The sequence below is a fragment of the Homo sapiens genome, chromosome 20 (genome assembly GCF_000001405.40).
Source record: "Homo sapiens chromosome 20, GRCh38.p14 Primary Assembly".
Lineage (NCBI taxonomy): Eukaryota > Metazoa > Chordata > Mammalia > Primates > Hominidae > Homo > Homo sapiens.
In genome coordinates, this window is record NC_000020.11 from 64,073,152 (window position 1) to 64,101,057 (window position 27,906).

Sequence of the window (27,906 nt, forward strand, 5' to 3'; positions counted from 1 at the left end):
CCCAGACTTGGACAAAAATGAGTAGAGACTTTGCTTTAAAAATATCTTCAATAATAAGACATCCTATTTTTGGGGGGTTAGGGATAGAGATAAATATGAAAACTTTTTTTTGATAAAACACCTAGTAAGGACATGTTTCCAGGTTTAAAGTTCATGAACATATAAAACAGAAATTGGGTCCTGCCACCTTGAGTGCAGGATTCTGAGGTCCTAAATCTGGTTCTGAGGTTCTGTGTTTGATTCTGGGGTACAGACAGCTCAAGTAGGAGGTCTCCTTATGTCACAAAACTACACGATGCGGAGGTTCTGTTCCCCACCAAAGGCTTGTCTGGGGCCCATTGGCTGCCTGGGGAGGAGGCCCCAGCGAGGCTCATGGGTCCAGCATGGCTCCTGGGGGGACCCCTACTCTCACCACGCAAGAGCCCCCAGCCAGGAGCACTGGGCCAGCCAGCTGCGGGCCGATGAGGGGGCTTCTGGCCCGCCCTGCACCTGGAGGCCCGCCCTGCACCTGGAGTTCCTGCTTGGCCACGGGTGGGCAGACCCAGGAGACACAGCACTCCCCACTGGGTCTAGGACCGTCTCCGCGGGTGGGGACCCCAGCCGGCCAGGCATGTGCCCTGACAGCCCTGCCGACAACAACACCTGAAGGGAACCCAGAGTCGGCCGTAGGAGGCGGCGGGGTCTGTGCTGCTGGGGGCGGCCTAGGCCTCGGAGGAGGACTGTGATGGCCCCTGCAGCAGCAGGGCACGGTAGGTGGGAGAGCTGAGGAAGCGGGGGTAGGAGTCCCGGTGCATGAGCGTGTAGATCTGCAGCTGCGCGTCGTCGAACGTGTGTGCGGACGGCTCCTGCATCTTCTTGTTGATGCCCTCCCGCACACGGGAGTCCAGGCTCACCTGCAGGACAAGACACTGAGGTCAGGGGGTGCGGGAGCTGCCTTCCCCACCTAGTGCCTGGAGCAGGCGGCCCCCGGCCTGTTCTGGTGTCTGGCGCACCTCCTTGGGGGACAGGATGGATACGTAGTCCTCGTAGATGAGCCTCGCCTTCTCGTCTACCACATGCTGGTTGGCCTCGGCCTTCAGCTCCTCGCAGGCCAACCAGAAGAGCATGTTCTCCTCGCTGTACTCTGTCCGCAGGAACGCCCGGAACACGCTGCGTCCCGCTGGGCTGTGCATCAGCTTGTCAAAAGACTGCGCCCAGCTCTGCACCTCCTCAGGACTTGGCGTGGCACTGTGGGCACGGGGGCCAGGCTATGTCAGGCCCGAGTCTCCCGGTCTGGGGCCCCCCCAGCACGCACACACCAGCCGGCTGGACTCACCATACTTCACAGCTGGGGAGGGGCTGCAGCTTGCTCTCCCGGGAGGCCTGCCACGCGCGCCGCCGCTCTTGGTTCCTAGTGGCAGAGAGGAAGCAGCGCTGCCGTGGGCACACACGCCTCCACGGCCACACAGGCCCTCAGCACATGGGCAGGCACCTGACACACATGGGCACCCACTGCAGGAGGGCAGCCCCTGCAGGCACCTGACACACATGGGCACCCACTGCAGGAGGGCAGCCCCTGGAGCTGGCTCTTCCCACACTCTCCCACACTCCCAAATTCCCCACAGAATCTGCAGTCCAGGTTACTGTCCCTGCCACAGTGCCCAGACCACAGACTCTGCCGTCTTCCATTCCAGCAGTGTGACCCAGTGCCCGCGAGTCTCTGGCCTTCCAGGAGGGGCCCTTCGGCTCCTGGTGTGCTCCTCCCCATCCCTGGCCCACTGGGCAACCTCCTCCACCCACCCATGCCCACCCCACATGAGGTTGAGAAGCAGGTATGCCACCTCCCCTTCTGCCTCTGCTCCCCTGGGGGAGATGGGGTGGGGCAAGATGAGGGGCCACAAGGAGCTGGGAGATCCCTGAACACCTGGGAGGCCAGAAGGGTCATGTGCCTGGGAACAGGGCCACCCATGGGAATGTGCCTGGGAACAGGGCCACCCATGGGAATGTGCCTGGGAACAGGGCCACCCATGGGAATGTGCCTGGGAACAGGGCCACCCTGCTCCTGGGCCTGATCTTGGCCTGTCCCTGTCCCACCGATGGGGTCACACGCTGCAGGTCTGGCGTGTCAGCAGTGTCTCTCGTCGGCTGACGCAGGTGAGAGCCCCAAACCCGTGTCCACACTCCTTCAGGTTCTGGAGCCTGATCCCCGGTTGTCTCAAGGGAAGCAGCTTCTTTGCCTTGGCTCCTAGCATCCTGTCAGTGCTGGACCCAAATCCATACCCGGCTGACCTCTCTCCAGGGCACTTGGATGGCTGGCAGACATCGTGCACCCAAACGTCCTGACAGAACTAGGCCCCTGGGCTCCTCCCACCCCCTTTCCCGACTGCCCCCTGGCCACCCCCAGCTTGCCCGTGGGTCAGCTGACGCCACCTTGGATCCAGAAGCGCTGTCCTCTCATCAGCCAGGGCCTGAAGCCTGAATAGGGCCAGGCTTCTGCAAGGTGTGAAAACATCCACCAGCTCCCCTACACTCCTAGGAAATCTGTTACCATCTGGGAGCCCCACTCCCACCCTCACAGGGATGCCCAGAGACGTCCCCGCCACCGCCCCCTGCTCTTCTTCCCCCACGCATGCTGTCCGGGAAGCTCTTGGCCATCGCCCCAGGGCCAGCAGTTCCCTTATTGGGGTCTCTGTTCAAACGTCCCTCCACCCCACACACTGTATGGGGTCTGTGCCTGTCTTTCTTTCTTTCTTTCTTTTTTTTTTTTTGAGACGGAGTTTTGCTCTTGTTGCCCAGGCTGGAGTGCAATGACGCGATCTCGGCTCAACGCAACCTCCGCCTCCCAGGTTCAAGCCATTCTCCTGCCTCAGCCTCCCGAGTAGCTGGGATTACAGGCATGCGCCACCACGCCTGGCTAATTTTGTATTTTTAGTAGAGACAGGGTTTCTGCACATTGGTCAGGCTGATCTCGAACTCCCGACCTCAGGTGATCCGCCCACCTTGCCCTCCCAAAGTGCTGGGACTACAGGCATGAGCCACTGCACCTGGCCTGTGCCTGTCTTACTCCACCGCAGGCCCCCAGGGCCTAGCCTGGGCTGGCTCACAGCAGCATGGATAAAGCACATGCCGCGTGAACGGGCACATGCATGTACACAGCACACGGACACACCCTTGGCAAGACAGGTACGAGAGCCATACATGAGCTCCCTGGGGCCAAGGCACCGGCCACTCATCACCAGGGCCCAACAGACCCTGGACAGGACAGTGCTGTGAGGTGGCAGGGGCATCCTGCCTGCGGGGATGCCTCGGAAGCCACCACTGGGTCCCCTCCTGGGTCTGCTTGGCCCCATGCCCTCGACCCCCTCGCCAGCTGGGCACCCCAGGCCCTACTCACCAGGAGCAGCTACAGCAGCAGCACCAGCACAGGCAGCAGGGGTTGCGGCTGGGGGCCGCTGGAGAGGCTGTATCATGACTGGACATTGAAGGGGGCCGGTCCGCCTCCTCTGGCCCTGTGATCTGGGGAAAAGTGGGGCTACCTCAGCTTTCAGGTCAGAACCCACCAGACTCTCCACCTCTCCCCCACCTTCCCATGGGTAGCCCTGTTCCCAGGCACATGACCCTTCTGGCCTCCCGGGTGTTCAGGGATCTCCCAGCTCCTTGTGGCCCCTCAGCTTGCCCCACCCCATCTCCCCCAGGGGAGCAGAGGCAGAGGGGGAGGTGGCATACCTGCTTCTCAGCCTCATGCGGGGTGGGCATGGGTGGGCGGAGGAGGTTGCCCAGGCTCCGTGGTACCAGCTCTCAGACCCTCACCACAGCCTGGGGGTCTGGGGAGAGGGGCCAAGGTTCTGACTGAGAACCTGAAACCCCAGCCCCTGCCTACCCCTTAGGAGGGGTCCTGAGAGGGTGTCTCCCTAGCGGGGCCTGCTCCTGCCTCTGGACCCAGCTCTGCCTAGGGCTTCTACCCCGACCCCAAGCTTACAGCAGGGCTGGGAGGGGGTCCAGGATCATTGAGGAGGGAGCTGCAGCAGCTTCTGGCCCCTCCTCCCAGGCTGGGCCCCAGATGAGGCCCCCACTGGAGGTTCCGAGACACCCCCATCCGCTCACTCCCTGGGAAGCCGGAAGCCTGGGTTCCTCTTTCTTGGTTTCCGGCTCCCAGCCCCTCCCAAAGGGGCCCCGAGAGTCTGGGGCTACCAACTGGTGCGTGCGGGTGGTGGCCAGACTGGCTTCTAGGGTGTCTGGGGTGGGGAGTGGGCAGAGTGGCTTCCCACCAAGAGTCCAGGTCTGTCTGTGGGTCCCAGAGGTCTCAGCCAGGGGCAGCAGGCTAGACCTGCAGCAGTGAGGATTTAAGTGGGACTCAGGCTGGACTTGCTGAGGGTGTGGGAAGGGGGGCAGGGCCCCGGTGAGGAGGGACATGCCCCCCAAACATGGTTCTTTGGTCCTGCTACCTCCCACCCAAGACTTCCCTCCCTCCTTGCCCACTGCCTCTAGGCTGTGAAACTGCTGTGGAACCAAGGCCCTACCACAGGGTGCGCCAGCCAGGGAAGTGGGGGTGGCAGGGGTGGGGGGCACCCTGCTCCCCAGTCGAAGCCTCGGAGTCCCTGAGGGGGGTGTGGTGTGGTGCATGTCCCTCCCAGCATTTGGTTGCACCGTCTGCAGGGGAGGTGCACCAGGAGCGCCAAAGCTGTGAGTGGCCCTCATGCCACCTAAGATGCCACTTCGAATCCCAAGTCTCCTTGGGCGATGGTACAGGGGGGCCAATCAGTGCCCCGGAGGCAGTTGTGAACACCTGCGCCCACTTCTGCCCAGGGCAGGGAGGGGCCTCCGTGCACATCCGCCACCCTCCTCATGTGCCGCCACCCTCCCTGGCCAGGAAGCTCACAACTTGATTCTACTTTATTTTCTCAATCTTCATCCCCCCGCCACGCCTCCCCTAGCTCGTGGCCTTTGAATGCTTGTTTCTGGCTGGTTGGCTTCTCTTGGCCTCCTGGGACGGTGTGTGAATGGCCCTCAGAAGAGACAGTGCTGGAGTTCTGCACTCTTAGGGCCCCCAATACCCCCGAGGCCTGGGCATGCAGAGGCCACTGCCCTGGCCCAAGTCTGGGGCAGGTGCAGCATCCCCTGGGACCTTGGCCCCTCACCACCGGCCCAGTTTCCTCTGAGACTGGGGGTCCCACGGGCTCCTAGCAAGTAGATGAGGAGACCGAAAGTAGCCCTGCAGCTGGGCTTTCTTTCAGGGGTCAAGTTTCTAGGGAAAGGAAGGGGCGTGGCAACCTGAGGTTTGGTAGCTGTACCCAGACGGGGCTGTCTGTGGCTTCCCCAGGCAGCAGTTCTTCCTCCTCTCTGTCCCCACCCAGGGTCCTCCCCCACACTCTAGCACCCCTGAGACTGTCCCCCTGGGCTACCATCTCCACCCCAGCTCTGAACTGGAGGAGGGGACGTGTTTAGGGGTGCAGGGCCGGGGTGCTAGGGGCTGCATTTGCTGCAGAGCAGGGAGCCAGCCCCTTCTTTCCCAGTTGCAGGCCCTGGACCTGGTCACCTGTCCCTGGACCTGGCTTCCTGTACCCTTCTCAGGTCAACTGGGGCAACCCATGTCCCCAGGCTACCCTCCCCCCGTCTCTCCTGGGGGATACAGAGTCTCAACTAGGGTCCTCCTGCTTGTCAACCTGGCATTGGGGACCCCCTTCCCCAGCCTCCCAGGCTTTGGCCCCCAAGTCTGGGATGGGATAGGCTGGATAGGCGGCACGTCTGCTCTCTGGGGATAGAGGATCCCTTGGGAGTGGCTGCCGCTTTGCTCCACAGAAGGAAAAAGAACGTCCCAGAGCCTGCCCAGTCCAAAAAAAGAATAAGAAAATGTGACAATCCCAGAAAAAAATGTCATAACCTTTGGGAGGGGGGTTGAAGAGGGGCTCCATTCTCAGTCCTTAGCTCCTACCCAGGGCCTTTCCCATCTGCCACCCTCCACATCTGGCTGGTGGGCGAGCCCTGGCCTGGCCCCTCCAGGGAAGGCCAGCTCTCCCCACCTCTGAAATGGTGGTGGTGGCCCACCCACCACGCTCCTCTCTCTGCTGTTAGGGTCCAGTCTGGAGAAGCCTGTGTTCTCCTCCAGGTGCCTCTTTCTTCAGCCTCTGACGCCCCCACCCCTACCTCAAAGCTCCCTACTCACCAGCGACCCAAAGGCGGGGTGGGGGCAGGAGGGGCCAGGTTGGGTCTGGGCCCCACCCTGGCTGCCGAAGGGGCGTGCACTGCAGCAGCAGGGACTCAAGTCAGACGGCAGGAGGGACTCCTGCGGCGCTCTGGAGGGAGGCTAGCGCCAGGAGCCCCCGATCGGCTGGGGCCGGGGGCGCAGCGCCTCCCCTACAGCTCGAAGGGCTGAGTGGCTGCCAGATCCAGCGGGGTGGGGGCGGGGGCGGACAGGGTGTCCCGCCCCGGCCCCTCCTCACCGGGCTGAGAGGGGGAGGGAGACGCGGAAACCTGGGTTCTTCCGGCCCCCACCTTTGAGCAATCACTTCCCCAGGCTTTGAGCTCCAGAAAAAGGGGAACCCGGCTGCGGCGCCCCCTCCCCCACGCGCGGGGGGCGGGCTCCACTTCCACTGCGGCCCAGGGTCCACGTGGACCTGGCGGCGGGAGCCCTTGGGGTTCGAGTCCCGTGCGCCGGCTCCCGAAGCTCCCGCCCAGCACGGTCCCCGGGCCCGGGCCGGGAGGGGCAGGGCCGCTGTCCCCGGCGCTGCGCGCGCGCACTCACCAGCCGCGCTCCCGAGCCACTCGCGCCGCCGCCGGCCCGCGCGCTCCAAGGTCCGGCCCGACAGTCGGGGAGGGGGCGCGGGGGCGCAGTGCGCAGGCGCCTCGGCGGCACTTCCCCAAAGCCAGGGGCCGGGACTTCCTCGCGCCGGCGGTCGCCGGGCCCGCCCCGCCCGCCGCGCCCCGCCCCGCGCTCGGCCGGCTCCGCACCCCACCCGCCCCGCCCGCGCGTCGGCCCCCACAGTCGCCTGGGGGTGGCCCGGAGAGTCGAGGTGCTCATAGTGGAGCCCTGGCTCCCGGGCGGACGGAGCCGCACGGTAGTAGATGGGGGTGTGGCCGTGGCCCCCGACTCTGCTCGGCGGGGCCGTTCCTGCTTTGCCATCCGTGTGGGACTTCCACGACAGTGGAGGCACGAGAGCTGGGCCCCATATGCTGCTTGCCCAGCTTGGGAAAGAGGAGGCTGCTGCAAAGGACCGATCGGCGGGTACGCCAGCCCGGCCCACCCCTCGCCTCCGTGAGCCGCGTCTGTAAAACTGGGTTAAGAGCCGCCTGTCTGTGCTGTGGGGGGTTCCCAAGGAAGGGGGAGATTCCTGTGCTGCGGGGCTGGGGAGAACTGGGGGTGCGGGTTCTTGCATCCGGAGTCATGCCGAATGTCTCCTGTGGGGCCTGGCAGAGTCCCTGCTGACCCGTGTGTCCCAAGATGTCCTAAAGCTTAAGGCCACACTGTCCCCTTTGCCACGAACGCCCTGTCCCTTTGGCCGACTCTTCTCATCCTTTATGACTCGGTACAGACGTGGGTTAGGCTTCTCATCGCAGCATGCTTTGGCCCTGTGTCAGGGTGGCCCTGACCCTGCTCTGGAAGTGTCTGCAGAGCATCTGTGCCCCCCGCCCCTCCCCTGGCCCGGCTGTGTGCAGCTCCTGTCCTCCCCAGCACAAGCACTCCACCCGGATAGTTCCCAGTGTCGGGATCTGTTCATAAAATGCCTTCCAGTTGCACAGGTCAGGTGCACACCTTACACCTTCACAGAACTCTGAGGGGTGCAAAGGCAGCTGGAGATTCTACTTGTATTCCTCATTCAACGGACAAGTATCAGTATCTGGGTGCCCCTGTGGGCCAGGCAGTAGGACCAGAAGCCAGCAACATAGATCAGCCTGGATCTTATGCTGGGGGGCGCAGAGTGAGTTGTGGGGAGCAGGCAGGGAAGGCCTGGGTGAGAGGGGGGAGGGCTGAGGAGGGGAGGGTATTGCGCTGCTGAGCGGGGGCGGGGGCCCGAAGGGGGAGGTCAGAGGTCAGAGGGCCCTGGAGGACAGACAGGCTGCCTCTCGAAGCTGTACCCAGAACCCTGTGACTGCCATGTTGTCAGGCCAGGCAAGGAAAGGCAGGGGCCAGGAAGCCCACAGGGACAAGAGGCAGGCTGCTACTTATTCAGCCCACATAACACTCCTGAGCGGTGGGCACAGGTGAGGTCAGGGAAGCTCAACGAAGATGGGCCAGCACCTGGCCCAGGCCACACACAACCAGGCTGACCCCGCTGAGCCGGCCTGTTGTCTCTGCTGTGGGAAAATGCAGCTGTGGGCAGCTGGCAGGGGGTGAAGGTCAGTGCCCTCCCTGCCCCCTCGGGTCACTCTACAACCCCCCAGTCATTCCCCCGTCTCCTCTGGCCCCTTGGGCCTGCTCTCCACCGCCCTGGCTTCTGCCTCTCGGCACACAGCATCCTGAAGTCCATGGGTGGGGCCAGGTGAGCTGGGCAGTTGATGGCGGAGCTGGGATTTGAACCCAGGACCCTCTGCGCCCTGACAGCCCTCAATATATTGGGCTTTGGACCACATGCCTTCCTTCCCATAGAGCTTTCTACAGGCAGGCGTCCCTCCAGGCCCCATTCCCCAGCCTCCTTTGCACATCCAGCACCCCCTGCGCCTTTTCATGGGGATCAAAGGGCCCGAGTGCCGGCCTGACCCTGGTGCAGTCACTGAGGTCACTGTCTTGCTGGCCTTCTCTGGGTGCTGGGTCTGCTGTGCCTGTCTCTGCCCCTCTTCCCTCTTGCCTGTCTGATGCAGAGTGACCCATCCCCTTTGGAGCACTTGCTGCTGTGGGGTACTGCACCAAGACCCTTATTTTAAAGATAAAGAAATGGAGTCTCAGAGAAATGGTGAAATAATATGTGATTCTCCCAGTAGATGAACTCATTCTAGGCACTCAGTCAATCCCCAAGACACAGAATCCTGGGGTCCAGGCTGCAGGGAGTTTGGCCAGACGACACCAGGGCTGGCTGTCATCACATGTCACAAGCACATCAGGGTGTGAGTGGCTGCCACTCCTGGACAGACTGCCTCCCTTCCCTGTCTGTCTGCCCCTGCTCAAGCCCCTTCTCCCTGGCCTCCTTCCTCTCTACCCTTCCCTTCCTGAAACCCCTCCTGCCATCTCTCTGTCCCCTCCTTGTCAGCTGACTTCTGAGCTCTGTATACAGTCTGGGCTTGGGTCAAGGCCAAGGGCAGCAACAGCCCAGAAAGAGTAAAGTGCTCGGTGCACGGGGAGAAGGGCTGGCTGAGGGGCGAGTGCGCAGGGCTCCACCCCCTGGCCGGGGCTGGGGAGAAACACTGGCTGCCATGGAGCAGGATCCCTTCTGGACCCCAGTTCTGACCTCTGCCCCTCCTTCCAGTCAGCTGGAGCCCCCTAGCAGGAGGAGCGGTTTGTCTGAGTTCCTGCGGTCCCGCTTCTGTGCAGCCTGCTGGGCAGGGGGCTGGGAGGGAGGAAAAGGAAGCGGGGGCCTAGGGAAGCCCCAGCGTCTGCAAAGAGCTCACGTCGGGGAGAAAAGTAAGGTCTGCCCAGAAACCTCGGGGCTTTTCAGAGTCCAGGGATTTTGTAGGTCGTGGGCCTGTTTGTCAGAATGGGACAGGGGTGGCTTCCTTTTGTACTGCATGCGTGAGTGTGTGTGGGGTGTGTGTGTGTGGGGGGGTGGGTGTGGGGGTGTGGCATGGGGCATTAAAGGGGTCACAGGAGGCTATTCAGGATGGAAAGGAAGGCCAGAGGGTGGGATTTTTGTCTGGGGGCCGCAGGGGTTCCCCTTGCCCAGTCTCTTGGTCCTCTTGGGCACAGCTGCTGCTTCTTCAAAGGCCAGCTTAGGTCACTTCCGCTGCCCACAGCACTGCCCTCTCCCTGGCCCCCTGGTGGGATGACTCGCACTCGAGACCACTGCAGCCTGAGGCTACCCTTACATCTGGGGGTGACTTCTGCTGAAACAGGCTCTTTCTCCGTCCTCCCCAAGACTGGGGGCCTCCCATAGACCCACAGAACGCCAGGTTGCCAGTGGGGGGCAGATCGGGATTAGGGGTAGGCGTGTCCCTGACCTGTTACTTTCACACCCACCCACTTGCGTCTCCCCACTTTTTTGGGAGAGGCCCCACTCTCTGTACCCTGATGTCTGTGAGGTGCATGGGAGAGGCAGCGTCCATACTCCCCGCTTCCCTCGGGGTCCTGGGGAGTGGCAGCAAAAAGACCAGCGAGCCTTCGGAGAATTATAACTTTATGTGGGAGGCTGGGGCGCGTCGCACACTCTCAGTCGCCGTCACCGCGGGAAGATGGTGCCATCCACGTTCTCCTCCAGGATGGTCTCCACGCGCCTCCGCTGCCGGGGAGAGAGGCTGGGGTCCGGCGTGTGCGGAGGCGGGCAGGGCCCCTCCCCTTTCCCCGCCCCTACCGGGGCTTGTCTGCACCTCTTGGCGGTCCAGGGGGTCCGGGATCCGCGCGGGCTTCAGCTGCGGCGGCAGGAACAGCTCCAGCCGGATGGCGGCGCGCGCGGACTTCTGCCGCTGGATGAGCAGCGCGATCTCCTCGGCCTGCGGGGCCCGGGTAGCTGAGCGCGCGCCGAGCCCCGCCCCGCCCCGCCCCGGCCGGCTCCGCTCAACGCTCCCGGTGCGCCCCCTCTGCCCTCCGACCCCCTCGCCTCACCCGCATGCGGGTGTAGCGCAGCCGCAGGGCGCGGACTCGCCCGCGGGCCTCCGCTGCCTTGAGGACGCCGAGGAGCCGGTTCTGGCGCTCGGCGGGCAGCTCGAGCGACTGCGTCCACGGGCGCGGGTCGGGCATGCGGTACCCCGGTTCCACCGACCCGCACGGGAAGGTGGAGGCCGCCGCGCCCACGTCCTCCAGCAGGTCGCCGAAGAGCAGATGGCGGTGGCGCTGCGCAGGGAGCATGGCCGCCAGTCCCTGCGGCGTCAGGGCCCAGCCCGGCTTGGGGGGCTCTGTCGCGGGCGCCCCCTTGGCACGCTCCTCACCCTGCGCCGTGCCTGGCGCGCTCTTCCCGCTTCGCTCCCGCGGGCCCTTGCGCCCGCCCTCCTTCGCTGGCGGCGGCATCCTCCCGCCCTGCGGAGGGAGGAGGGCGTCCCGTCGGTGCCGGGGCTGGCACCGGGCCCTGCCCGCCCCTCGGCAGGGCCCCAACGTGCGCCCCAGCTCCCGCCCGCTGGGCTCTCCGCAGTCGGTTTTGAGTTCCGCACCCCCAGCCTCTGAGCTTTGCCCAGGCGCTCTCCCTCTCCCAAGCGCACGTCCCCAGCAGCTCTGCCATCGGCTGATCCTGCTCAGTCCTGCAGTCAACTAGGACTTTCTGATCAACTCAGTTGTAGGAAATATCTTTCCTACCCGATGGACTGTTCTGTTTGAATTGAGAAAATGCTGAGACCCCACTGGGTTGATCTCAGGCCCTGCCACATGGAGAGCTCTAGGTGACGCCTGGGGGACCTTCGTTGTGCCCCTATGTCTGCGGTCCCCGACAGTCAGGGTCTCCCACCAGACAGCTCGCTCTTGCCCTTCGAGGCCTAGATGGTTGTGGGGAGCAGAGCCTAGAGGGCAGGTGACAGAGGAGGGAGGGTCCAAAAGCCCAGCTGGCTCCTCCCTTCCCGGCCCCAGCCTACAGCTGCCACCTTGTCCAGCCAGGGCTGGGCTCGCTGTGCCAGAGGCAGAGCCACGGCCAGCCCCAGCGGCGGCTAACGCCCCCGCCCCTCCTTAGCTCCTGCAGCCGAGGCCCAGCCCCCACCTCTTGGTCCCTACACCCCCTGCTTGCTGCCTTCTCTGGTCGGAAGAACCTCCGCCGTAGCCCAGACTCTTTGGGCTTGTTGACGCGGTTGCCCAGCAACCGGGAGTCCTGCCCCTCCCTCGACCAGGTGGGGCGGGTCGTGGCGGGGGGCAGGGTCCCCTCCGGAGGGCCCTGGGTTAGAGTCTGGGCGTGGACGCGCCCCTCATAGGGGTCATTGGGGCATAGAGGCATAGAGCCGGCTTCTCCAGCTTGGGTGAGCGTCCTTTCCAGGCGGCCGCAGACGCGCCATCCTAGGGGTTGTGGGCCCAGGTTCCTGGCTTGAGGGGTCTTTGGGGTTAGTTTTGTGGGTGGGGCCCTCGGCTATGAGGAGACCTTTGTGGTTAAGGCCCATTCCCTTCTGATGGCCAGGGGGCTCTGGCCCCAGCCACTGGTGTTCACAGAAAGGGATAATGGGGCAGAACTCAGGACCCCTCACCTCTTCTAGGGCAAGTTTGGGGTCTCAGGGGTCCTGGTGTCCCCAGGACTAGAGCTGGGTTTTGCTGAACACTGTGTCTTGGGATCTTGGGTCCTAGATACTAGATTTTGGAAATCTATTTGTGCATTCCTTTGTTTTGTAACTAATTCTCAATTAACTACTTAATCATTTTATAATTTCTTCAGGCACTCATAAGTGTGTTCTAGAATTTCCTAATTCACGTGCTTATTCCACAGTTTAAATTAGGCAAAAATTAGTGCAAAAAGTCCAATCTGTTACGTATCTATTACTTCCACGAGATGTCTGTACTCTCTCTATATTCACAGACCTGCCGCTGGGACACCTTGCTGGGAGTTTGGAACCTGTGAGTTTGGGAGTAGGGCTGTCCCAGCTGAGGAGCAGGGTCTTAGCTGAGCTTCTGGCCTTTTGGCAGGAGGCTGTTGGGTGTTCCCATTGTTTTTGGGAGACTGCCCTGGCCTCTCAGTAAGAGGGTAAATTTTGACATTCAGCCCTATGTCCCAGAGCCGGCACCCCATCCCACAGCTAGGCCCATCCTTCCAGCCCTCAAGCTTTTGCTGCTCCCCAGGAAGGCCCTTCCTGGTGCTGTTCCCTCCCCTCCTGCAGGTGCCTTTGGGGTCCTGCCTGGGCTGCAGCACCAGCTTGGCTTGAGGAAGGTCCCTGGTCTCCAGAAGCAGCAGTGACTGCTTAGGGATGCTCACCCAGCAGCCGCTTTCTCTGGGCAGCCTTTGTGCTCCCATAGGGGTGAGTCCTTTGAGACAGGGACCTGGGCCATCCTCTCAGCTTCCCTGGGTCCAGGCCAGGGGGACACATGGGTGGGGCACTTTCTGGCTCTTGGCGTTTGTGGGGGAGTCACGCAGGGAGTAGGGGAATATTCTTCTGTTCTGCAAGAAGGGGCTTGTAACCTCTTTTTATAGGACTGGAAAACCTTGACACCCCCTAGTCCATAATTTGCAGCAGGTACTCCCAGGGCCTACCTGGCTCACATTCCTCACCCCTACTGTTTCTCCACACGTTTGCAGTTCTGCAAGAAGGGAGGTGTTCTCTGTGTGTTTGGGGTCCAGCAACTGTGAGGGACCCAGCAGGCCGACACCTCCCATCTGTTTCTGTCCCCAGGATTCACGTGTTTTTCAAGGGCTAACGGAAATGCTGAGATCTAAAAGCATGTTTATTGCTGCCAAGGCCTGACGATGAAACTTCAAGTCAAATTAGTAAGCTTTATTAATGACTACAAAATTTAACATGATATTGAGAAGCTACAACTCAATTTTTTTTGTCATTGTATATAGATTTTGTAAAGTTAAAATCACAAGGACAAAGTAATTTATTTTGATGAAACTCAGAATTGTTAAAAATTCTTTCACTTTTTTAATAGCACAAATGTGCGGCCTGGTGACTGGCTTCCCTGGGGGATGGCTGCTCTGTGAGGGGCTGCCAGACCCTCTGCCTTGATTCCTGTTCTTGGCCAGCCCAGGGTGGTGAGCCTGTGGAAGGAGGAGGGTAGACTGTGCCTGCCCTGGGGGTGGGAGTGGGGAGGACAAAAGACAGTGTTCCAGCTGCCGTCTGGCGTTTGCTGATTCTGAGTCACTGGATGAGAGTGAGGTGTGTGTATTTGCCTGCTGAGTGGGTGTGAATCTCACCCCGGAACCCAGGCCTGCCCAAATACCCAGGAGCTCCAAGAGCAGCCTGTGTCAGGCTTTAATCTGTGGACACAAGCTCTGTGCTGTCATTCGCGTGTCATCGTTCGTGTCTTGGGCTATCCCTAGTATCCTCGCACACAAGCTCTGTGCTGTCATTCGCGTGTCATCGTTCGTGTCTTGGGCTATCCCTAGTATCCTCGCACACAAGCTCTGTGCTGTCATTCGCGTGTCATCGTTCGTGTCTTGGGCTATCCCTAGTATCCTCGCACACAAGCTCTGTGCTGTCATTCGCGTGTCATCGTTCGTGTCTTGGGCTATCCCTAGTATCCTCGCACACAAGCTCTGTGCTGTCATTCGCGTGTCATCGTTCGTGTCTTGGGCTATCCCTAGTATCCTCGCACACAAGCTCTGTGCTGTCATTCGCGTGTCATCGTTCGTGTCTTGGGCTATCCCTAGTATCCTCGCACACAAGCTCTGTGCTGTCATTCGCGTGTCATCGTTCGTGTCTTGGGCTATCCCTAGTATCCTCGCACACAAGCTCTGTGCTGTCATTCGCGTGTCATCGTTCGTGTCTTGGGCTATCCCTAGTATCCTCGCACACAAGCTCTGTGCTGTCATTCGCGTGTCATCGTTCGTGTCTTGGGCTATCCCTAGTATCCTTGCATATTGTTTCGCCTGCCCAGAACATGTGTGTTTGAGGTTGTCTTGCTCTCTCATATAACATGTGCCTCTTGCTATCTCTTGTGTAACATATATGTTCTATATAGGACCCTGATTCTACCTTCCCCCTTCTGGAGGGACCACCCCACCCTTGGCAGGTTGGGGGAGGGCAGGACTCTATTAGGGGTCTAGAGATACCTGGGCCATTTCATCTGCACCACCAGTTCTCCTCCGTGGGAGCGTTTCTGGGTCCAGGGCTGGGCCCCTGCCAACCCCAGGGAGCACTGTCAGTGTCACACCTGGCCAATCCCCTAGCCAGGTGACCAGGCCTGTCTTTCACTCTAAGACTGCGCCTGTGAGGGGCCAGGTGCCTGCCTCCTGCGGGGCTCTGCTGACCACACTCTCAGAGGATATCTGCTGAGACCAGAGCTCACAGGCCTAGCCTGGCAGCCGTATTACTGAATAATGGCCAAGTTAGGAAGGTTCCCAGGGCTGGGGGTCCTGGGGTAGGCTTCTTGGAGGAGGTAGGACTGGAGCTGGCTGGGGTGGGGCAGGATCCATGCAAGGGGCCAGAATCTGCACATGGGCCAGGATCTGTGCATTGAGGCCAGGATCTCTGCATGGGGGCAGGAGTCTCTGCGGGGAGGACTTTTAGGGGGTAACAGGATCTGTGCAGCGTGCAGGATCTTTGCAGTGGGGCCAGGATCTGTGCAGTGGGTAGGATCTACATTGGGAGTCAGTGTCTGTTCAAGGGAGTCGGGGGACAGGACCCGTCCAGGGAGGGCAGGATCTGTACAGAGGGACCAAGATCTACGCACGGGGATAGCATCTATGTGGGGTGGGGGCACGGTCTGTGCCAGGTTTTGGGGGCACTAGATCTTTGCAGGTGTGGCCAGGATCTGTGCAAGGGGTAGGATCTGTGCAGAGTGGCCAGGATCTGTGCAGAGTGGCCAGGATCTGTGCAGGGAGGCCAGGATCTGTGCAGAGTGGCCAGGATCTGTGCAGGGAGGCCAGGGTCTGTGCAGAGTGGCCAGGATCTGTGCAAGGGGTAGGATCTGTGCAGAGTGGCCAGGATCTGTGCAGGGAGGGTAGGATCTGTGCAGAGTGGCCAGGATCTGTGCAGAGTGGCCAGGATCTGTGCAGGGAGGGCAGGATCTGTGCAGGGAGGGCAGGGTCTGTGCAGAGTGGCCAGGGTCTGTGCAGAGTGGCCAGGGTCTGTGCAGAGTGGCCAGGATCTGTGCAAGGGGTAGGATCTGTGCAGAGTGGCCAGGGTCTTTGCAAGGGGGCAGGATCTTTGCAGGGGGGACAGGTTGTGTGCAGGCAGGTGCGCAGGGTCAATGCAGGGGGCAAGGTCTGTACCGTGGGCTAGGGGTCTATGTGGGTGGGGGGCAGGTTCTGCGCAGGGGGCCTAGGCTGTTCAGCATGCCAGGGTCTGTGCTGGGGGTTTGCCGCAGGCACAAGGGAGGGAGAAGCTGTCCTGGGTTCTATGGTTATGAACATGTCAGGGCAGAATGACACAGAACACACAAGAAGTTCAAGGGAACACATTATGAGATTGTGAACACCTGGACTGGGGAGGCCACGGCCTTCTGCTGGACCCTGAACGGCTCCCACAGAGGGAGTTGAGGTCTCTATTGACTCCTGAAAGGCCAGGCAAGGCAGAGCTGGGAGCTGCCTTGGTGGGGGTGCAGGTGGCTGGTTGCTATTGCTGGGTGAGAAGGCTTGGGGTCAAAAGAGGTGGGGGTCAGGGAGCTAGGTCTGACCTCGTCCCCCCTCCTTTCTTCCTGTCCTCCTATCCCCAGCGTGTTTTCCTCCCTCTTCTCCCATCCTTCCTTACCCATCCTCTCTCTTGATCTCTCCATACTTCCTCCCCACTCCTTTCCCTTTCCTCCTCCTCCCCATCCCAACCCCTCATCCTCCCTGTCTCTGCCTGTAGGGAGGAAGCTGTGGGGTGACCCAGGTGGAAGACAGACATGCGAAGGGAGAGGTGTCTGCAGTAGCAGGGATGAGGTGCTTGTGTCCCACACTCTGCCCTGGCCTCTGACACTGGTTCCTGGTCCGGGGACATCAGGTTGGGCTCCTTTGTCCTTCCCTTACGAGGTCTCTGCTCTGCCCACCCTCAGTGCCTACAGTGCCCAGGCTGGGTCCCAGGCTGGGAGGCAGGCTCAGGAAGCTCGGGTAGGAGGGTCTAGGGTCTCCTGCTCAGACGTTGGTGAGCCCAGCTGGGGCGGAGGGCTGCAGGAGTCCGAGCCTGCCTGGATTCCTGCCCCCTCTCGGCTCCTGAGGTCAGGGGGCTCACCCTCGAGCTTTGCCTGGAGAGCGTGTTTGTGCATGTGTGTGTCCTCTGGGTGTCGGAGGGCCTTGGTCTGTGTCTGCCTGTTCCCAAAGGTGTCCATGCACACTCTAGGTCTACCCATGTGCCTGCGTGCACGTTGGCGTCATCTTGCATGTGTGTGGCCCGTGTGTTTGTGCATCCCTGTGAGTGTCTGCATTTCTGAGTGTGTACCCATCCATGTCTCTGTGTGTTCACCCGTATGCCTGTCTGGGCATCTGTGTGTGTGTTTGCAGGAATGTGTGTCCCCATGTGTCCCTTGAGTGTCTCTGTTGACGTGCCCCGTGCCTTCACACGTGTCCCTGAGTCTTGGTTGCCGTGAAGATGCAGGGAGAAATCCTGGGGGACAGCGAGGGATGCTGGGTCCTGGGGCATCTGCCTGTTCCGTCCTCTCCTGATTTGCCAGGTATCCTAGCAACGCTGCTGCCAGTTGCCTAGCAACCAGGTCCCCACTCATGGAGAAGGTGCTCGGAGCAGGGTCTGAGCTGTGTGGGGAGAGGTCTGGTTTTCCTGCAAAGCTCGTGCAGGAAGTACAACCCCATGACCGGGAGGGAGCTGGTGATTCAGCTCAGGGGTCACCCACACAGCCTTGACCTGTGACCTTTCATCTCAGTGGATCAGGCATGGGACCCCCGTGCTGAGAAGGAGGCAACTCTGAAGGGGCCATTCAGCTGTGTGGGTGCCAGGGGCCTGTCTGCAGGAGTGATGCTCAGCCACTGATCTGGGGCCCAGCTGTGGCAGAGGTGCCCTGGGCACTGATCTGGGGCCCAGCTGTGGCAGAGGTGCCCTGGGCACTGATCTGGGGCCCAGCTGTGGCAGAGGTGCCCTGGGCACTGATCTGGGGCCCAGCTGTGGCAGAGGTGCCCTGGGCACTGATCTGGGGCCCAGCTGTGGCAGGGGTGCCCTGGGCACTGATCTGGGGCCCAGCTGTGGCAGAGGTGCCCTGGGCACTGATCTGGGGCCCAGCTGTGGCAGGGGTGCCCTGGGCACTGATCTGGGGCCCAGCTGTGGCAGAGGTGCCCTGGGCACTGATCTGGGGCCCAGCTGTGGCAGAGGTGCCCTGGGCACTGATCTGGGGCCCAGCTGTGGCAGAGGTGCCCTGGGCACTGATCTGGGGCCCAGCTGTGGCAGAGGTGCCCTGGGCACTGATCTGGGGCCCAGCTGTGGCAGAGGTGCCCTGGGCACTGATCTGGGGCCCAGCTGTGGCAGAGGTGCCCTGGGCACTGATCTGGGGCCCAGCTGTGGCAGGGGTGCCCTGGGCACTGATCTGGGGCCCAGCTGTGGCAGAGGTGCCCTGGGCACTGATCTGGGGCCCAGCTGTGGCAGAGGTGCCCTGGGCGTGTCTCCAAGTGACGAACAGACCCGGGTTTCACCCCGTCTCTGCCACTGTGACAGGTGGCCTCACACCTCTGAGGCTTCGTGCTCTCAGCAGTGGCCGGGTATGGTGGGGGTGACTGAGCTCCAGGAGCACACAGCAGGTGCTGGGCCAGTGCCGTGTCCTGGACCCAAGCATCTTACCCGCTTGTTTACGACGAAGCTTTGATCTGTCGAGAGCTGGCCGGGTGGGGGCATTTCGGTGTGCCGGGAGCCCAGCTGGGGGGTCCGGGCCAGTCTGTCCAAGGCTGTGTCTCCGTGTGAGTCGTGGTCCCCGTGTCTGTGTGTCCTTGTGTGTGTCTCTCTGTCCTGTGTCTCCAATCCTGTGTCTGTGAACCCGTGGGCATCTCTGTCCGTGTGTCCTGGCCTGTGCGTGTGTGTCTGTCTGGGGTCTGTGGGTCTGAGCCTCCTTTTTCATCTCTGTGTGTCCTGGACTGTGTGTCTGTCCCCGTCCAGTGTGGGGCCGGCGCAGCCCTGGGTGCGGTGACCCACCTTCCCGCAGCCCCCACCTCCTCCAGCCTGCATAGCCCCTCCCCTTCTGGAGCTGCAGCCTCCTCCCCCTCCCCCCCAGCTTCGGGCTGCCGGCTCACTCGGCTGCTGCGTCTGGTCTGGCGTCTGCTGAGAAGATCCTCTTCTACCCTGCTCTGCACCTGTGCTCGACTGCCAGCCGGCTGAGGGCGGGGGTCTCCACGGTGGTCCCAGCTCCCAAGGAGGTTGCAGAAGTAAGGGCCTGAGCCGCTGGAGGTCGGGTGGGGGTCCTGCTGACAGACTGCAGCAAAGCAGGGCGGGTGGAGGGGGCAGGAGGAAGCTGGGTCCCAGGCGTTTCTGGGTGTGTCTCAGTCTCTTTTGTGCCTGCGTGTGCGTGAGGGCAGGTTTGGGCATTTCTGTGTGTCTGTGTGTGTGACTTGTGTCCCTGCATCCCTGTGCCTGTGAACACGCGAGTGGCTGTGTGTTCATCAGTCCCTGTGGGTGGACACGTGTCCTGGGGTGTAGCTGCCTCCAGGCACCCTGTGTGTGAGTCTCTAAACCAAATGGGACCGTGTCCTTGCGGGTGCATGTGTGTCTTTGTGTTCTGTGAGTCCCTGTCTGTGCACACGTGTCCTCGTGTCTCCATGTGTCCCTGCATGTGCATGTGTGCCTGTGTGTTCTGGTGTGTGTGCCCGTGTGCCTCAGTGTCTGTGGCTGCCCAGCGTGGGGGTCCATGTGCCTGCTGGGCTGCACGTGCTGGGTTGTGAGGCCTCCGCTGGGCGTGTGTCTGGCACTGCAGCCACTTGTCTCTGCGCTCTGTCCCAGGTACCGTACAGAGTGGATTTGCAGGGCAGTGGCATGGAGCCCCTCTTCCCCGCGCCGTTCTGGGAGGTTATCTACGGCAGCCACCTTCAGGGCAACCTGTCCCTCCTGAGCCCCAACCACAGTCTGCTGCCCCCGCATCTGCTGCTCAATGCCAGCCACGGCGCCTTCCTGCCCCTCGGGCTCAAGGTCACCATCGTGGGGCTCTACCTGGCCGTGTGTGTCGGAGGGCTCCTGGGGAACTGCCTTGTCATGTACGTCATCCTCAGGTAGGCTGGGCCCCAAGGTTCCTGTCTGGTGAGTCCCACACGGCTGCAGAGGGGGAAACTGAGACGGGGTCTGTTCTGGATGGGCCTGAGCAGGTGTTGATTTCCTGCTTCCCCCATTCAATGTTTTTGACCCTGTCCAGGAGGCAGGGTCAGTCCTGAGGCCCTGGGTGCTCCCCTCCACAGGGAGGGGAGGGGAGGGGGCTGGCCCTGGCCCACCGCGCTCTGTCCCAGGCAGAGACGTCACCACCCTGACCTCTGGTTTGAGCTGTGGACCAGGCTCTGTGTCAAGCTGTCTGCTTGAATGACCTCATGAGATCCCACAGCGGCCCTGGGAGAGTCTTTTTTCAGCCCATTCCCTAGATGGGCGAAGGGAGGCGCAGGGGCTGGAGCTCGGACCGTTCTGAAACCCCTCTCAGGCTCCAGGGCTCCTGCTCATGGCAGGTGTCTGTGGCTGAGCCCATGATCTGTTGGTGCTCAGAGATGGGAAAACTTGTGGGGGCCATTGAGAGAGCAGCTGATAGTTGAGATTGAGGGGGCAGTGTGGGGGCAGTGTGTGGGGGGCGGTGTGTGGGCAGTGGGTGGGGGTCAGTGTGTGGCAGTGTGTGGGGGGCAGTGTGGGGGCAGTGTGGGGGTCAGTGTGGGGGTCAGTGTGGGGGCAGTGTGGGGGTCAGTGTGGGGGCAGTGTGGGGGGGGCAGTGTGGGGGCAGTGTGTGCGCAGTGTGGGGGCAGTGTGTGGGGGCAGTGTGGGGGCAGTGTGTGGGGCAGTGTGGGGGCAGTGTGGGGGCAGTGTGTGGGTCAGTGTGTGCGCAGTGTGGGGGTCAGTGTGGGGGCAGTGTGGGGGTCAGTGTGGGGGTCAGTGTGGGGGCAGTGTGGGGGGGGCAGTGTGGGGGCAGTGTGTGGGGACAGTGTGGGGGCAGTGTGGGGTCAGTGTGGGGGTCAGTGTGGGGGCAGTGTGGGGGGGGGCAGTGTGGGGGCAGTGTGTGGGGACAGTGTGGGGGCAGTGTGGGGTCAGTGTGGGGGTCAGTGTGGGGTCAGTGTGGGGGCAGTGTGGGGGGGCAGTGTGTGGGTCAGTGTGGGGGCAGTGTGGGGGCAGTGTGTGGGTCAGTGTGGGGGCAGAGTGGGGGCAGTGTGGGGGGCAGTGTGGGGGGCAGTGTGGGGGGCAGTGTGGGGGCAGTGTGGGGGCAGTGTGGGGGGCAGTGTGTGGGTCAGTGTGCGGGCAGTGTGTGGGGGTCAGTGTGGGGGGCAGTGTGGGGGCAGTGTGGGGGGCAGTGTGGGGGGCAGTGTGGGGGCAGTGTGTGGGTCAGTGTGGGGGCAGTGTGTGGGTCAGTGTGGGGGGCAGTGTGGGGGGCAGTGTGGGGGTCAGTGTGGGGGCAGTGTGGGGGCAGTGTGTGGGTCAGTGTGGGGGCAGTGTGGGGGCAGTGTGGGGGCAGTGTGTGGGTCAGTGTGCGGGCAGTGTGTGGGGGGCAGTGTGGGGGGCAGTGTGGGGGCAGTGTGGGGGCAGTGTGTGGGTCAGTGTGGGGGCAGTGTGGGGGGCAGTGTGGGGGGCAGTGTGGGGGTCAGTGTGGGGGCAGTGTGGGGGTCAGTGTGGGGGCAGTGTGTGGGGGGCAGTGTGGGGGCAGTGTGTGGGGGCAGTGTGTGGGTCAGTGTGCGGGCAGTGTGTGGGGGGGGACAGTGGGGAGCAGCCAGGGACATAACGGGGGACAGCGTGGGGGGATAGTGTTAGGGACAGTGGGGGCAGCCAGAGGAATAGCAGGGGGATAGTGTGGGGGACAGTGGGGAGCACCCAGGGGGATAGCGTGGGGGGATAGCATGGGGGGACAGTGGGGGTGGCCAGAGGAATAGCGGGGGGATAGTGTGGGGGAGATGGTGTGGGGGGGATAGTGTCGGGGAGATCGTCTGGGGGGATAGCGTGGGGGAGATGGTGTGGGGGGGATATCGTGGGGGAGATGGTGTGGGGGGGATAGCATGGGGGAGATGGTGTGGGGGGGATAGCGTGGGGGAGATCGTCTGGGGGGATAGTGTCGGGGAGATGGTGTGGGGGGGATAGCGTGGGGAGATGGTATGGGGGGATAGTGTGGGGATAGTTGGGGGGAGCTGGGGCGATAGCGGGGAGATAGCATCGGGGGGATAGTGTGGGGGATAGTGGGGGGATAGTGTGGGGGAGATGGTGTGGGGGGAGATGGTGTGGGGGGATAGCGTGGGGGAGATCGTCTAGGGGGATAGCGTGGGGGAGATGGTGTGGGGTGGATAGTGTGGGGGATAGTTGGGGGGAGCTGGGGGGATAGTGGGGGGATAGCATCGGGGGGATAGTGTGGGGGGGATAGTGTGGGGGATAGTGGGGGGATAGTGTGGGGGAGATGGTGTTGGGGGAGATGGTGTGGGGTGGATAGTCGGGGGGGAGCCGGGGGATAGCATTGGGGACAGCATGGGCACAGCATGGGGGGCAGCGTGGGGGTGGGCAAGGAACCCTTCACGTGGATTGTGGATTGGGCAGGTAGAAGATGGAGATGACTTAAGCAGAAAGGGAGGGTTTTCTGGGCAGAGGAAATGATGGACCTCAAATCTATCCAGAGAAGAGAGAACTGAAGGGGCTGGGGACAGCAGGTGGGATCTTGAAGGCCCGGTTGGGGGAACTCTGTTCTTCAGGCAGTGGGGGGTTATGGGTGGTGCTTTAGCAGGAAAATGACTGACAGCTGGAATGAGGTTTCTTATTGGTCCAGGATGTTTGCCTGGACCCGGAAAAAGGTGATTCTGAAGAAAGTGCCCAGGGATCTAAAGCAAGTGTTCCCTCCTTACAACCTCAAAGGGCCCCAACCGGAGGTGTTATGTAGGTAGAGGCGGGACAGGGTAGTGGGGGTGTTCAAGCTGCCACCATCCTAGCCCTGTCCTCTTAGTGTCCCTGAGAAAAGCTGTTCCCCTCTGGGCCTTGTTTTTCCCATCTGGAAAGTGAGCAAGGTGGACCATGCAGCCACGTGTATATGTATGTGTGTGTACATGTGTGTGCAGGTGATGCGTGGTCAGACGAGACAGTGGGAAGAACAGCTGTCCCTCCCCACTGCTGACTCCTAAGGGAGGCTCCTGGGGAGGTTGCCTCGTGATGTGCATGTCCCATTGTGGCTGGCGGGCGTGTCACGGCTGAGGAGTGCGGCAGCCTGGGGAAGTCCCTGGGCTTGAGCACCTTTCCTGATATGATCGCTTCTCTACTGTGTTTCTCCTCTGCATTGAGGCATTTAATCTCTCAGAGGCACTTCCTGGATTAGAGCAGACAGGGAAGGTCCTCTGCTGGCCAGAGTCCCCAGAGAGAGCAATGCTCAGGAGCTGCCGTGGCCACACTGGCCCGAGAGGCCGCATGCAGCATGTTTCCAGCCAGTGGGCTGGGGTGACCATCTTGGGAGTCAGGACACTCCGTTCTGAGCCCTGCTCTGCTTTTTACCAGCTCTAAGGCCTTAAAAAAACAACATAGATCCTCTTGGCCTCAGTTTCTTCCTCTATAGAGTGGGGATCAAAGTAGTATTTTTGCAAATCTTCAATGACATAAATTCCCCCTGAAGAGCTTGGCACAGGTATTTGCCATGATCATTGTCATTGTTGTTGTCTCTTCGTAATTGCGGCCTCTTTGTGCTTATTCATAATCCCTCTCTAACAGGCAGAATGGAGCCCCATATTTCCTCACGGCAGCTACACTGACACAGAATAGTGTCATCTTGGGTGCTGCTGCCACTGCCAATATCGCCGCCACCATCATCATCACAATCATCACCATCACCACCATCATCACCACTATCATCATCACCACTATCACCACCACCAGCACCTTCATTATCACATTCACCATCCTCACCATCCTCACCACCACCATCACCACCATCATCACCATCATCATCATGACCATCACCACCATCACCACTATCACCACCACCACCATCATTACCATCATCATCACGACCATCACCACCATCATCACCATCACCACTATCACCACCACCACCATCATTACCATCATCATCACGACCATCACCACCATCATCACCATCACCACTATCACCACCACCACCATCATCACCATCACCATCATCACAGTCATCACCATCATCACCATCATCATCATCACCACTACCATCACGCTCACAGTCATCACCATCACCACCATGATCACTGCCATCATCACCACCACCATCACCACCATAATCCCCCCCAACTATTACAACCATTAACTTATTTAACAAAAATTTATTAATCACCAACGATTTTCCCAGCCCTTTCCAGCACCATTTCAGGTGCTTGGATACACTCATACCTTATTAGCATCCCTCCTGTCCCCCCGTCACCATTTTCGGTCTCCATTGCTAGGCAGCAGTGTGGACTTGGAAGCCTTTTGATATGTTCTTACAGATTCTGGAGCCCTCAGAAACCTCTGGCAACTGTAGGGTCAGCATTTGAGTCTGTGAGGGGTCATGGAGGGGACTCAAAAGCAAGGGGAGCAGACTCTTTCCCTTAGGGCTCTAAACCTTTGCTCCTGTGCAGAATCCGGGGTGTGTTCTGGTAGCCTACATGCCCTGACTCCTCTAAAGTAGACCTGTGTTTAAGGCTTGGAATCCTTCTGTGTGTGTCAGAGTCACTTGAGGAGCTGGTTAAGACGTTTGACCCCAGGCCCTACCCCCTGAGACTGACTCATGAGTCTCAGGTTGGGTCCAGGAGCTATCACTTACCAAGCCCCCATGGGAACTCTGATGTTAAGGGACTCAGGGCCACTGTAGCTTGTGGTGGCCAAGAGGAGCCCCTTGCCCTTTGCTGCCTGGTCCAGCCAGCATGGCCAAGTGAAGCCTTTCTTCTCCCTCTACTCCGCAGGCACACCAAAATGAAGACAGCCACCAATATTTACATCTTTAACCTGGCCCTGGCCGACACTCTGGTCCTGCTGACGCTGCCCTTCCAGGGCACGGACATCCTCCTGGGCTTCTGGCCGTTTGGGAATGCGCTGTGCAAGACAGTCATTGCCATTGACTACTACAACATGTTCACCAGCACCTTCACCCTAACTGCCATGAGTGTGGATCGCTATGTAGCCATCTGCCACCCCATCCGTGCCCTCGACGTCCGCACGTCCAGCAAAGCCCAGGCTGTCAATGTGGCCATCTGGGCCCTGGCCTCTGTTGTCGGTGTTCCCGTTGCCATCATGGGCTCGGCACAGGTCGAGGATGAAGGTCAGTGGGGTGTCCCCTCCTCCCCTCACCAGGCTCCCTGGCTCCCGGGTGGCTCCTCTGGGCCCACGTGCCCTCCACGTCTCCTGGGCCCACTCTGACCCCGTTTCTCTCCCTGCAGAGATCGAGTGCCTGGTGGAGATCCCTACCCCTCAGGATTACTGGGGCCCGGTGTTTGCCATCTGCATCTTCCTCTTCTCCTTCATCGTCCCCGTGCTCGTCATCTCTGTCTGCTACAGCCTCATGATCCGGCGGCTCCGTGGAGTCCGCCTGCTCTCGGGCTCCCGAGAGAAGGACCGGAACCTGCGGCGCATCACTCGGCTGGTGCTGGTGGTAGTGGCTGTGTTCGTGGGCTGCTGGACGCCTGTCCAGGTCTTCGTGCTGGCCCAAGGGCTGGGGGTTCAGCCGAGCAGCGAGACTGCCGTGGCCATTCTGCGCTTCTGCACGGCCCTGGGCTACGTCAACAGCTGCCTCAACCCCATCCTCTACGCCTTCCTGGATGAGAACTTCAAGGCCTGCTTCCGCAAGTTCTGCTGTGCATCTGCCCTGCGCCGGGACGTGCAGGTGTCTGACCGCGTGCGCAGCATTGCCAAGGACGTGGCCCTGGCCTGCAAGACCTCTGAGACGGTACCGCGGCCCGCATGACTAGGCGTGGACCTGCCCATGGTGCCTGTCAGCCCGCAGAGCCCATCTACGCCCAACACAGAGCTCACACAGGTCACTGCTCTCTAGGCGGACACACCCTGGGCCCTGAGCATCCAGAGCCTGGGATGGGCTTTTCCCTGTGGGCCAGGGATGCTCGGTCCCAGAGGAGGACCTAGTGACATCATGGGACAGGTCAAAGCATTAGGGCCACCTCCATGGCCCCAGACAGACTAAAGCTGCCCTCCTGGTGCAGGGCCGAGGGGACACAAGGACCTACCTGGAAGCAGCTGACATGCTGGTGGACGGCCGTGACTGGAGCCCGTGCCCCTCCCTCCCCGTGCTTCATGTGACTCTTGGCCTCTCTGCTGCTGCGTTGGCAGAACCCTGGGTGGGCAGGCACCCGGAGGAGGAGCAGCAGCTGTGTCATCCTGTGCCCCCCATGTGCTGTGTGCTGTTTGCATGGCAGGGCTCCAGCTGCCTTCAGCCCTGTGACGTCTCCTCAGGGCAGCTGGACAGGCTTGGCACTGCCCGGGAAGTGCAGCAGGCAGCTTTTCTTTGGGGTGGGACTTGCCCTGAGCTTGGAGCTGCCACCTGGAGGACTTGCCTGTTCCGACTCCACCTGTGCAGCCGGGGCCACCCCAGGAGAAAGTGTCCAGGTGGGGGCTGGCAGTCCCTGGCTGCAGACCCCGAGCTGGCCCTGGGCCAGCCGCACCTCTGAAGGTTTTCTGTGTGCTGCACGGTGCAGGCCTCATCCCTGACTGCAGCTTGACTCTGGGCCCAACCCCCATTTCCCTTCAGGAGACCAGCGAGAGGCCCTGGCCCATTCCCTCCAGCGGTGCAATGAACTATCATGCTGTGGACCGTCAACCCAGCCCTGCTTCTCAGTGTGGGGCAGGTGTCTCAGGACGAAGGCGCCGCGTGACCACATGGGCAGCTCTGTTCACAAAGTGGAGGCCTCGTTTTCCTGGTCTTGACTGCTCTGTTTGGGTGGGAGAAGATTCTCTGGGGGTCCCCACATCCTCCCAAGGCTCCCCTCACAGCCTCTCCTTTGCTTGAAGCCAGAGGTCAGTGGCCGTGCTGTGTTGCGGGGGAAGCTGTGTGGAAGGAGAAGCTGGTGGCCACAGCAGAGTCCTGCTCTGGGGACGCCTGCTTCATTTACAAGCCTCAAGATGGCTCTGTGTAGGGCCTGAGCTTGCTGCCCAACGGGAGGATGGCTTCACAGCAGAGCCAGCATGAGGGGTGGGGCCTGGCAGGGCTTGCTTGAGCCAAACTGCAAAGGCTGTGGTGGCTGTGAGGACACTGCGGGGGTTGGGGGGGGGGCGTCTGTACCTCAGGGGATGCCCCGCTGTGGTCACCCAGAGAATCACCCTTCCTGGTCTACAGATGGAAGCTGCAGGTTGGTGACTTTGCAAATGCACTTCCTACAGATGAACTATTAAAAGACCTGCAACATTGAAAAAACTCATTTTTTCCACCAAAACCTTGGCCAGGTAACCTACCTTAGGCACCTGCAAAGAACAGGAAGTGATGGCTGTCTCGCAACAGAGCCTGGGCTGCTCCTCCTGCTCTGGGGAGTCTAGGCCGTGGGGACTGTTCTGGGGAGGCTCATGCTGTCTCCATGACGTCTGTGGCAGGAGTCCCTGAGGACGGGAGCTGCCTAGCTACAGTTTTCTTGCCAAGGCGAGGTGTTTTGTGAATCTGTGCTGATGTAATGTGCACCTTCACGTATTTATGCATGTGGCAAGCGTTACTTCCTGTGCACGTAGCCAGCCCTGGGTCTGTCTCTGGGGTAATGAAAAAGGACCCTAATAAACACCTGCTCACTGGCTGGGTATTCTTTGTAACCAGTGTTTCTGGCTCCTGCCACCTGGGGATTTGCTTCTGGAGTGACTTTTCTGGGATTGGCACGTGGGTGGGAGGAGGCTATGGGTTTAGGCTGAATTCTTGTACCTGTCCTGTGCTGCTCAACAGGCTGGGCTCTGCCCTCAGTGAAACGTCCCCCAGGAGGCTGCAACCCTGGGGAGAGTTGAAGCCAGTTAATGGTGTGTTGGCCGGGCTGTTACCTTTTCTTCAGCACACACGGTTTCTCTCTAAACAACCGATGGCTGCACCTCTCCCCTGCCCCCTGGAAAGAGAGGTTTCCTGAGGATACAGTGGGAGGGTGCTGCTCCCACCCAGGTTGCAGGGTTTTCTTACCCCCATTTCATCTCAGAAGAACCCCTGCTCCTGCTCATTTCCCCTTCCTTGAGCAGATCTGA

General features: G+C 61.0%; 3 protein-coding genes and 1 non-coding gene across 27 annotated transcripts, besides 7 other annotated features; 1 reads left to right on the forward strand and 3 right to left on the reverse strand.

Moving 5' to 3' along the window:
- Positions 1 to 29: 29 nt before the first annotated feature.
- On the reverse strand, positions 30 to 6,813 carry RGS19 (regulator of G protein signaling 19). 7 transcript variants are annotated; one of them, NM_001039467.2, is made up of 6 exons: positions 6,722 to 6,813; positions 3,706 to 3,803; positions 3,374 to 3,495; positions 1,316 to 1,390; positions 993 to 1,227; positions 30 to 893 (listed from the first exon to the last, which is right to left on the reverse strand). In NM_001039467.2, exons 2-6 carry the CDS (start codon positions 3,733 to 3,735, stop codon positions 702 to 704), a joined length of 654 nt encoding a protein of 217 aa, NP_001034556.1. In that variant the 5' UTR covers positions 3,736 to 3,803; positions 6,722 to 6,813; the 3' UTR covers positions 30 to 701. The 7 variants fall into 7 exon arrangements, with proteins under 7 accessions (NP_001034556.1, XP_047295780.1, NP_005864.1 ...); XM_047439824.1 differs by having other exon boundaries at positions 6,472 to 6,813; NM_005873.3 differs by lacking the exon at positions 6,722 to 6,813 and adding an exon at positions 6,143 to 6,367.
- MIR6813 (microRNA 6813) lies at positions 3,804 to 3,859 on the reverse strand. The gene has a single exon (NR_106871.1). It is a non-coding gene; the product is annotated as a microRNA 6813 (primary transcript).
- Positions 6,269 to 6,948: a silencer, noted in NCBI's record as "silent region_13207". NCBI's record gives its function as "represses an Ori minimal core promoter by ATAC-STARR-seq in GM12878 lymphoblastoid cells {active_cell/tissue: GM12878}" and the evidence as "EXISTENCE:reporter gene assay evidence [ECO:0000049][PMID:35858748]".
- OPRL1 (opioid related nociceptin receptor 1) lies at positions 6,931 to 27,492 on the forward strand. 13 transcript variants are annotated; one of them, XM_047440154.1, is made up of 6 exons: positions 11,848 to 11,997; positions 13,354 to 13,448; positions 16,474 to 16,608; positions 19,537 to 19,802; positions 24,651 to 25,006; positions 25,125 to 27,492. In XM_047440154.1, the coding sequence occupies exons 4-6, from the start codon at positions 19,570 to 19,572 to the stop codon at positions 25,646 to 25,648; spliced, it is 1,113 nt and encodes a 370-aa protein (XP_047296110.1). In that variant the 5' UTR covers positions 11,848 to 11,997; positions 13,354 to 13,448; positions 16,474 to 16,608; positions 19,537 to 19,569; the 3' UTR covers positions 25,649 to 27,492. The 13 variants fall into 12 exon arrangements, with proteins under 13 accessions (XP_047296111.1, NP_872588.1, NP_001305782.1 ...); NM_001200019.2 differs by lacking the exon at positions 16,474 to 16,608 and adding an exon at positions 18,815 to 18,965 and having other exon boundaries at positions 25,125 to 27,482; NM_182647.4 differs by lacking the exons at positions 11,848 to 11,997; positions 13,354 to 13,448; positions 16,474 to 16,608 and adding exons at positions 6,931 to 7,201; positions 18,815 to 18,965 and having other exon boundaries at positions 25,125 to 27,482.
- Positions 7,342 to 7,515: a silencer, noted in NCBI's record as "fragment chr20:62711846-62712019 (GRCh37/hg19 assembly coordinates)". NCBI's record gives its function as "represses an EF-1alpha promoter that drives an FKBP-Casp9 reporter gene in an ReSE screen in K562 erythroleukemia cells {active_cell/tissue: K562}" and the evidence as "EXISTENCE:reporter gene assay evidence [ECO:0000049][PMID:32094911]".
- Positions 10,225 to 11,802, reverse strand: LKAAEAR1 (LKAAEAR motif containing 1). 6 transcript variants are annotated; one of them, NM_001386971.1, is made up of 4 exons: positions 11,761 to 11,802; positions 10,667 to 11,077; positions 10,432 to 10,554; positions 10,225 to 10,343 (listed from the first exon to the last, which is right to left on the reverse strand). In NM_001386971.1, the coding sequence occupies exons 2-4, from the start codon at positions 11,066 to 11,068 to the stop codon at positions 10,284 to 10,286; spliced, it is 585 nt and encodes a 194-aa protein (NP_001373900.1). In that variant the 5' UTR covers positions 11,069 to 11,077; positions 11,761 to 11,802; the 3' UTR covers positions 10,225 to 10,283. The 6 variants fall into 6 exon arrangements, with proteins under 6 accessions (NP_001373900.1, XP_047295919.1, XP_024307617.1 ...); XM_047439963.1 differs by lacking the exon at positions 11,761 to 11,802 and adding an exon at positions 11,351 to 11,423; XM_024451849.2 differs by having other exon boundaries at positions 10,225 to 10,554; positions 11,745 to 11,802.
- Positions 10,340 to 10,399: a silencer, noted in NCBI's record as "silent region_13208". NCBI's record gives its function as "represses an Ori minimal core promoter by ATAC-STARR-seq in GM12878 lymphoblastoid cells {active_cell/tissue: GM12878}" and the evidence as "EXISTENCE:reporter gene assay evidence [ECO:0000049][PMID:35858748]".
- Positions 10,580 to 10,659: a silencer, noted in NCBI's record as "silent region_13209". NCBI's record gives its function as "represses an Ori minimal core promoter by ATAC-STARR-seq in GM12878 lymphoblastoid cells {active_cell/tissue: GM12878}" and the evidence as "EXISTENCE:reporter gene assay evidence [ECO:0000049][PMID:35858748]".
- Positions 13,771 to 13,971: a silencer, noted in NCBI's record as "peak4324 fragment used in MPRA reporter construct". NCBI's record gives its function as "represses an SCP1 promoter by STARR-seq MPRAs in K562 erythroleukemia cells {active_cell/tissue: K562}" and the evidence as "EXISTENCE:reporter gene assay evidence [ECO:0000049][PMID:32103011]".
- Positions 18,756 to 19,489: an enhancer, noted in NCBI's record as "H3K4me1 hESC enhancer chr20:62723260-62723993 (GRCh37/hg19 assembly coordinates)". NCBI's record gives its function as "activates a minimal SCP1, AML or CMV promoter by ChIP-STARR-seq in primed H9 embryonic stem cells {active_cell/tissue: H9 hESC(primed)}" and the evidence as "EXISTENCE:reporter gene assay evidence [ECO:0000049][PMID:30033119]".
- Positions 19,490 to 20,222: an enhancer, noted in NCBI's record as "H3K4me1 hESC enhancer chr20:62723994-62724726 (GRCh37/hg19 assembly coordinates)". NCBI's record gives its function as "activates a minimal SCP1, AML or CMV promoter by ChIP-STARR-seq in primed H9 embryonic stem cells {active_cell/tissue: H9 hESC(primed)}" and the evidence as "EXISTENCE:reporter gene assay evidence [ECO:0000049][PMID:30033119]".
- Positions 27,493 to 27,906: the final 414 nt, after the last annotated feature.

Coding starts and splice junctions, on each gene's coding strand:
- RGS19 (XM_011528484.3), bottom strand. CDS start 4,075: ATGGGGGTGTCTCGGAACCTCCAGTGGGGGCCTCATCTGGGGCCCAGC. Junction 3,496..3,958: donor GACCCCCTCCCAGCCCTGCT/GTAAGCTTGGGG, acceptor ACTTTTCCCCAG/ATCACAGGGCCAGAGGAGGC. Junction 1,391..3,373: donor TGCTGCTGTAGCTGCTCCTG/GTGAGTAGGGCC, acceptor CTCTGCCACTAG/GAACCAAGAGCGGCGGCGCG.
- LKAAEAR1 (XM_024451849.2), bottom strand. CDS start 11,068: ATGCCGCCGCCAGCGAAGGAGGGCGGGCGCAAGGGCCCGCGGGAGCGA. Junction 10,555..10,666: donor TGCGCTACACCCGCATGCGG/GTGAGGCGAGGG, acceptor CGGGCCCCGCAG/GCCGAGGAGATCGCGCTGCT.
- OPRL1 (XM_011528828.4), top strand. CDS start 13,428: ATGAAACTTCAAGTCAAATTA. Junction 13,449..19,536: donor TGAAACTTCAAGTCAAATTA/GTAAGCTTTATT, acceptor GCTCTGTCCCAG/GTACCGTACAGAGTGGATTT. Junction 19,803..24,650: donor GTCATGTACGTCATCCTCAG/GTAGGCTGGGCC, acceptor TCTACTCCGCAG/GCACACCAAAATGAAGACAG.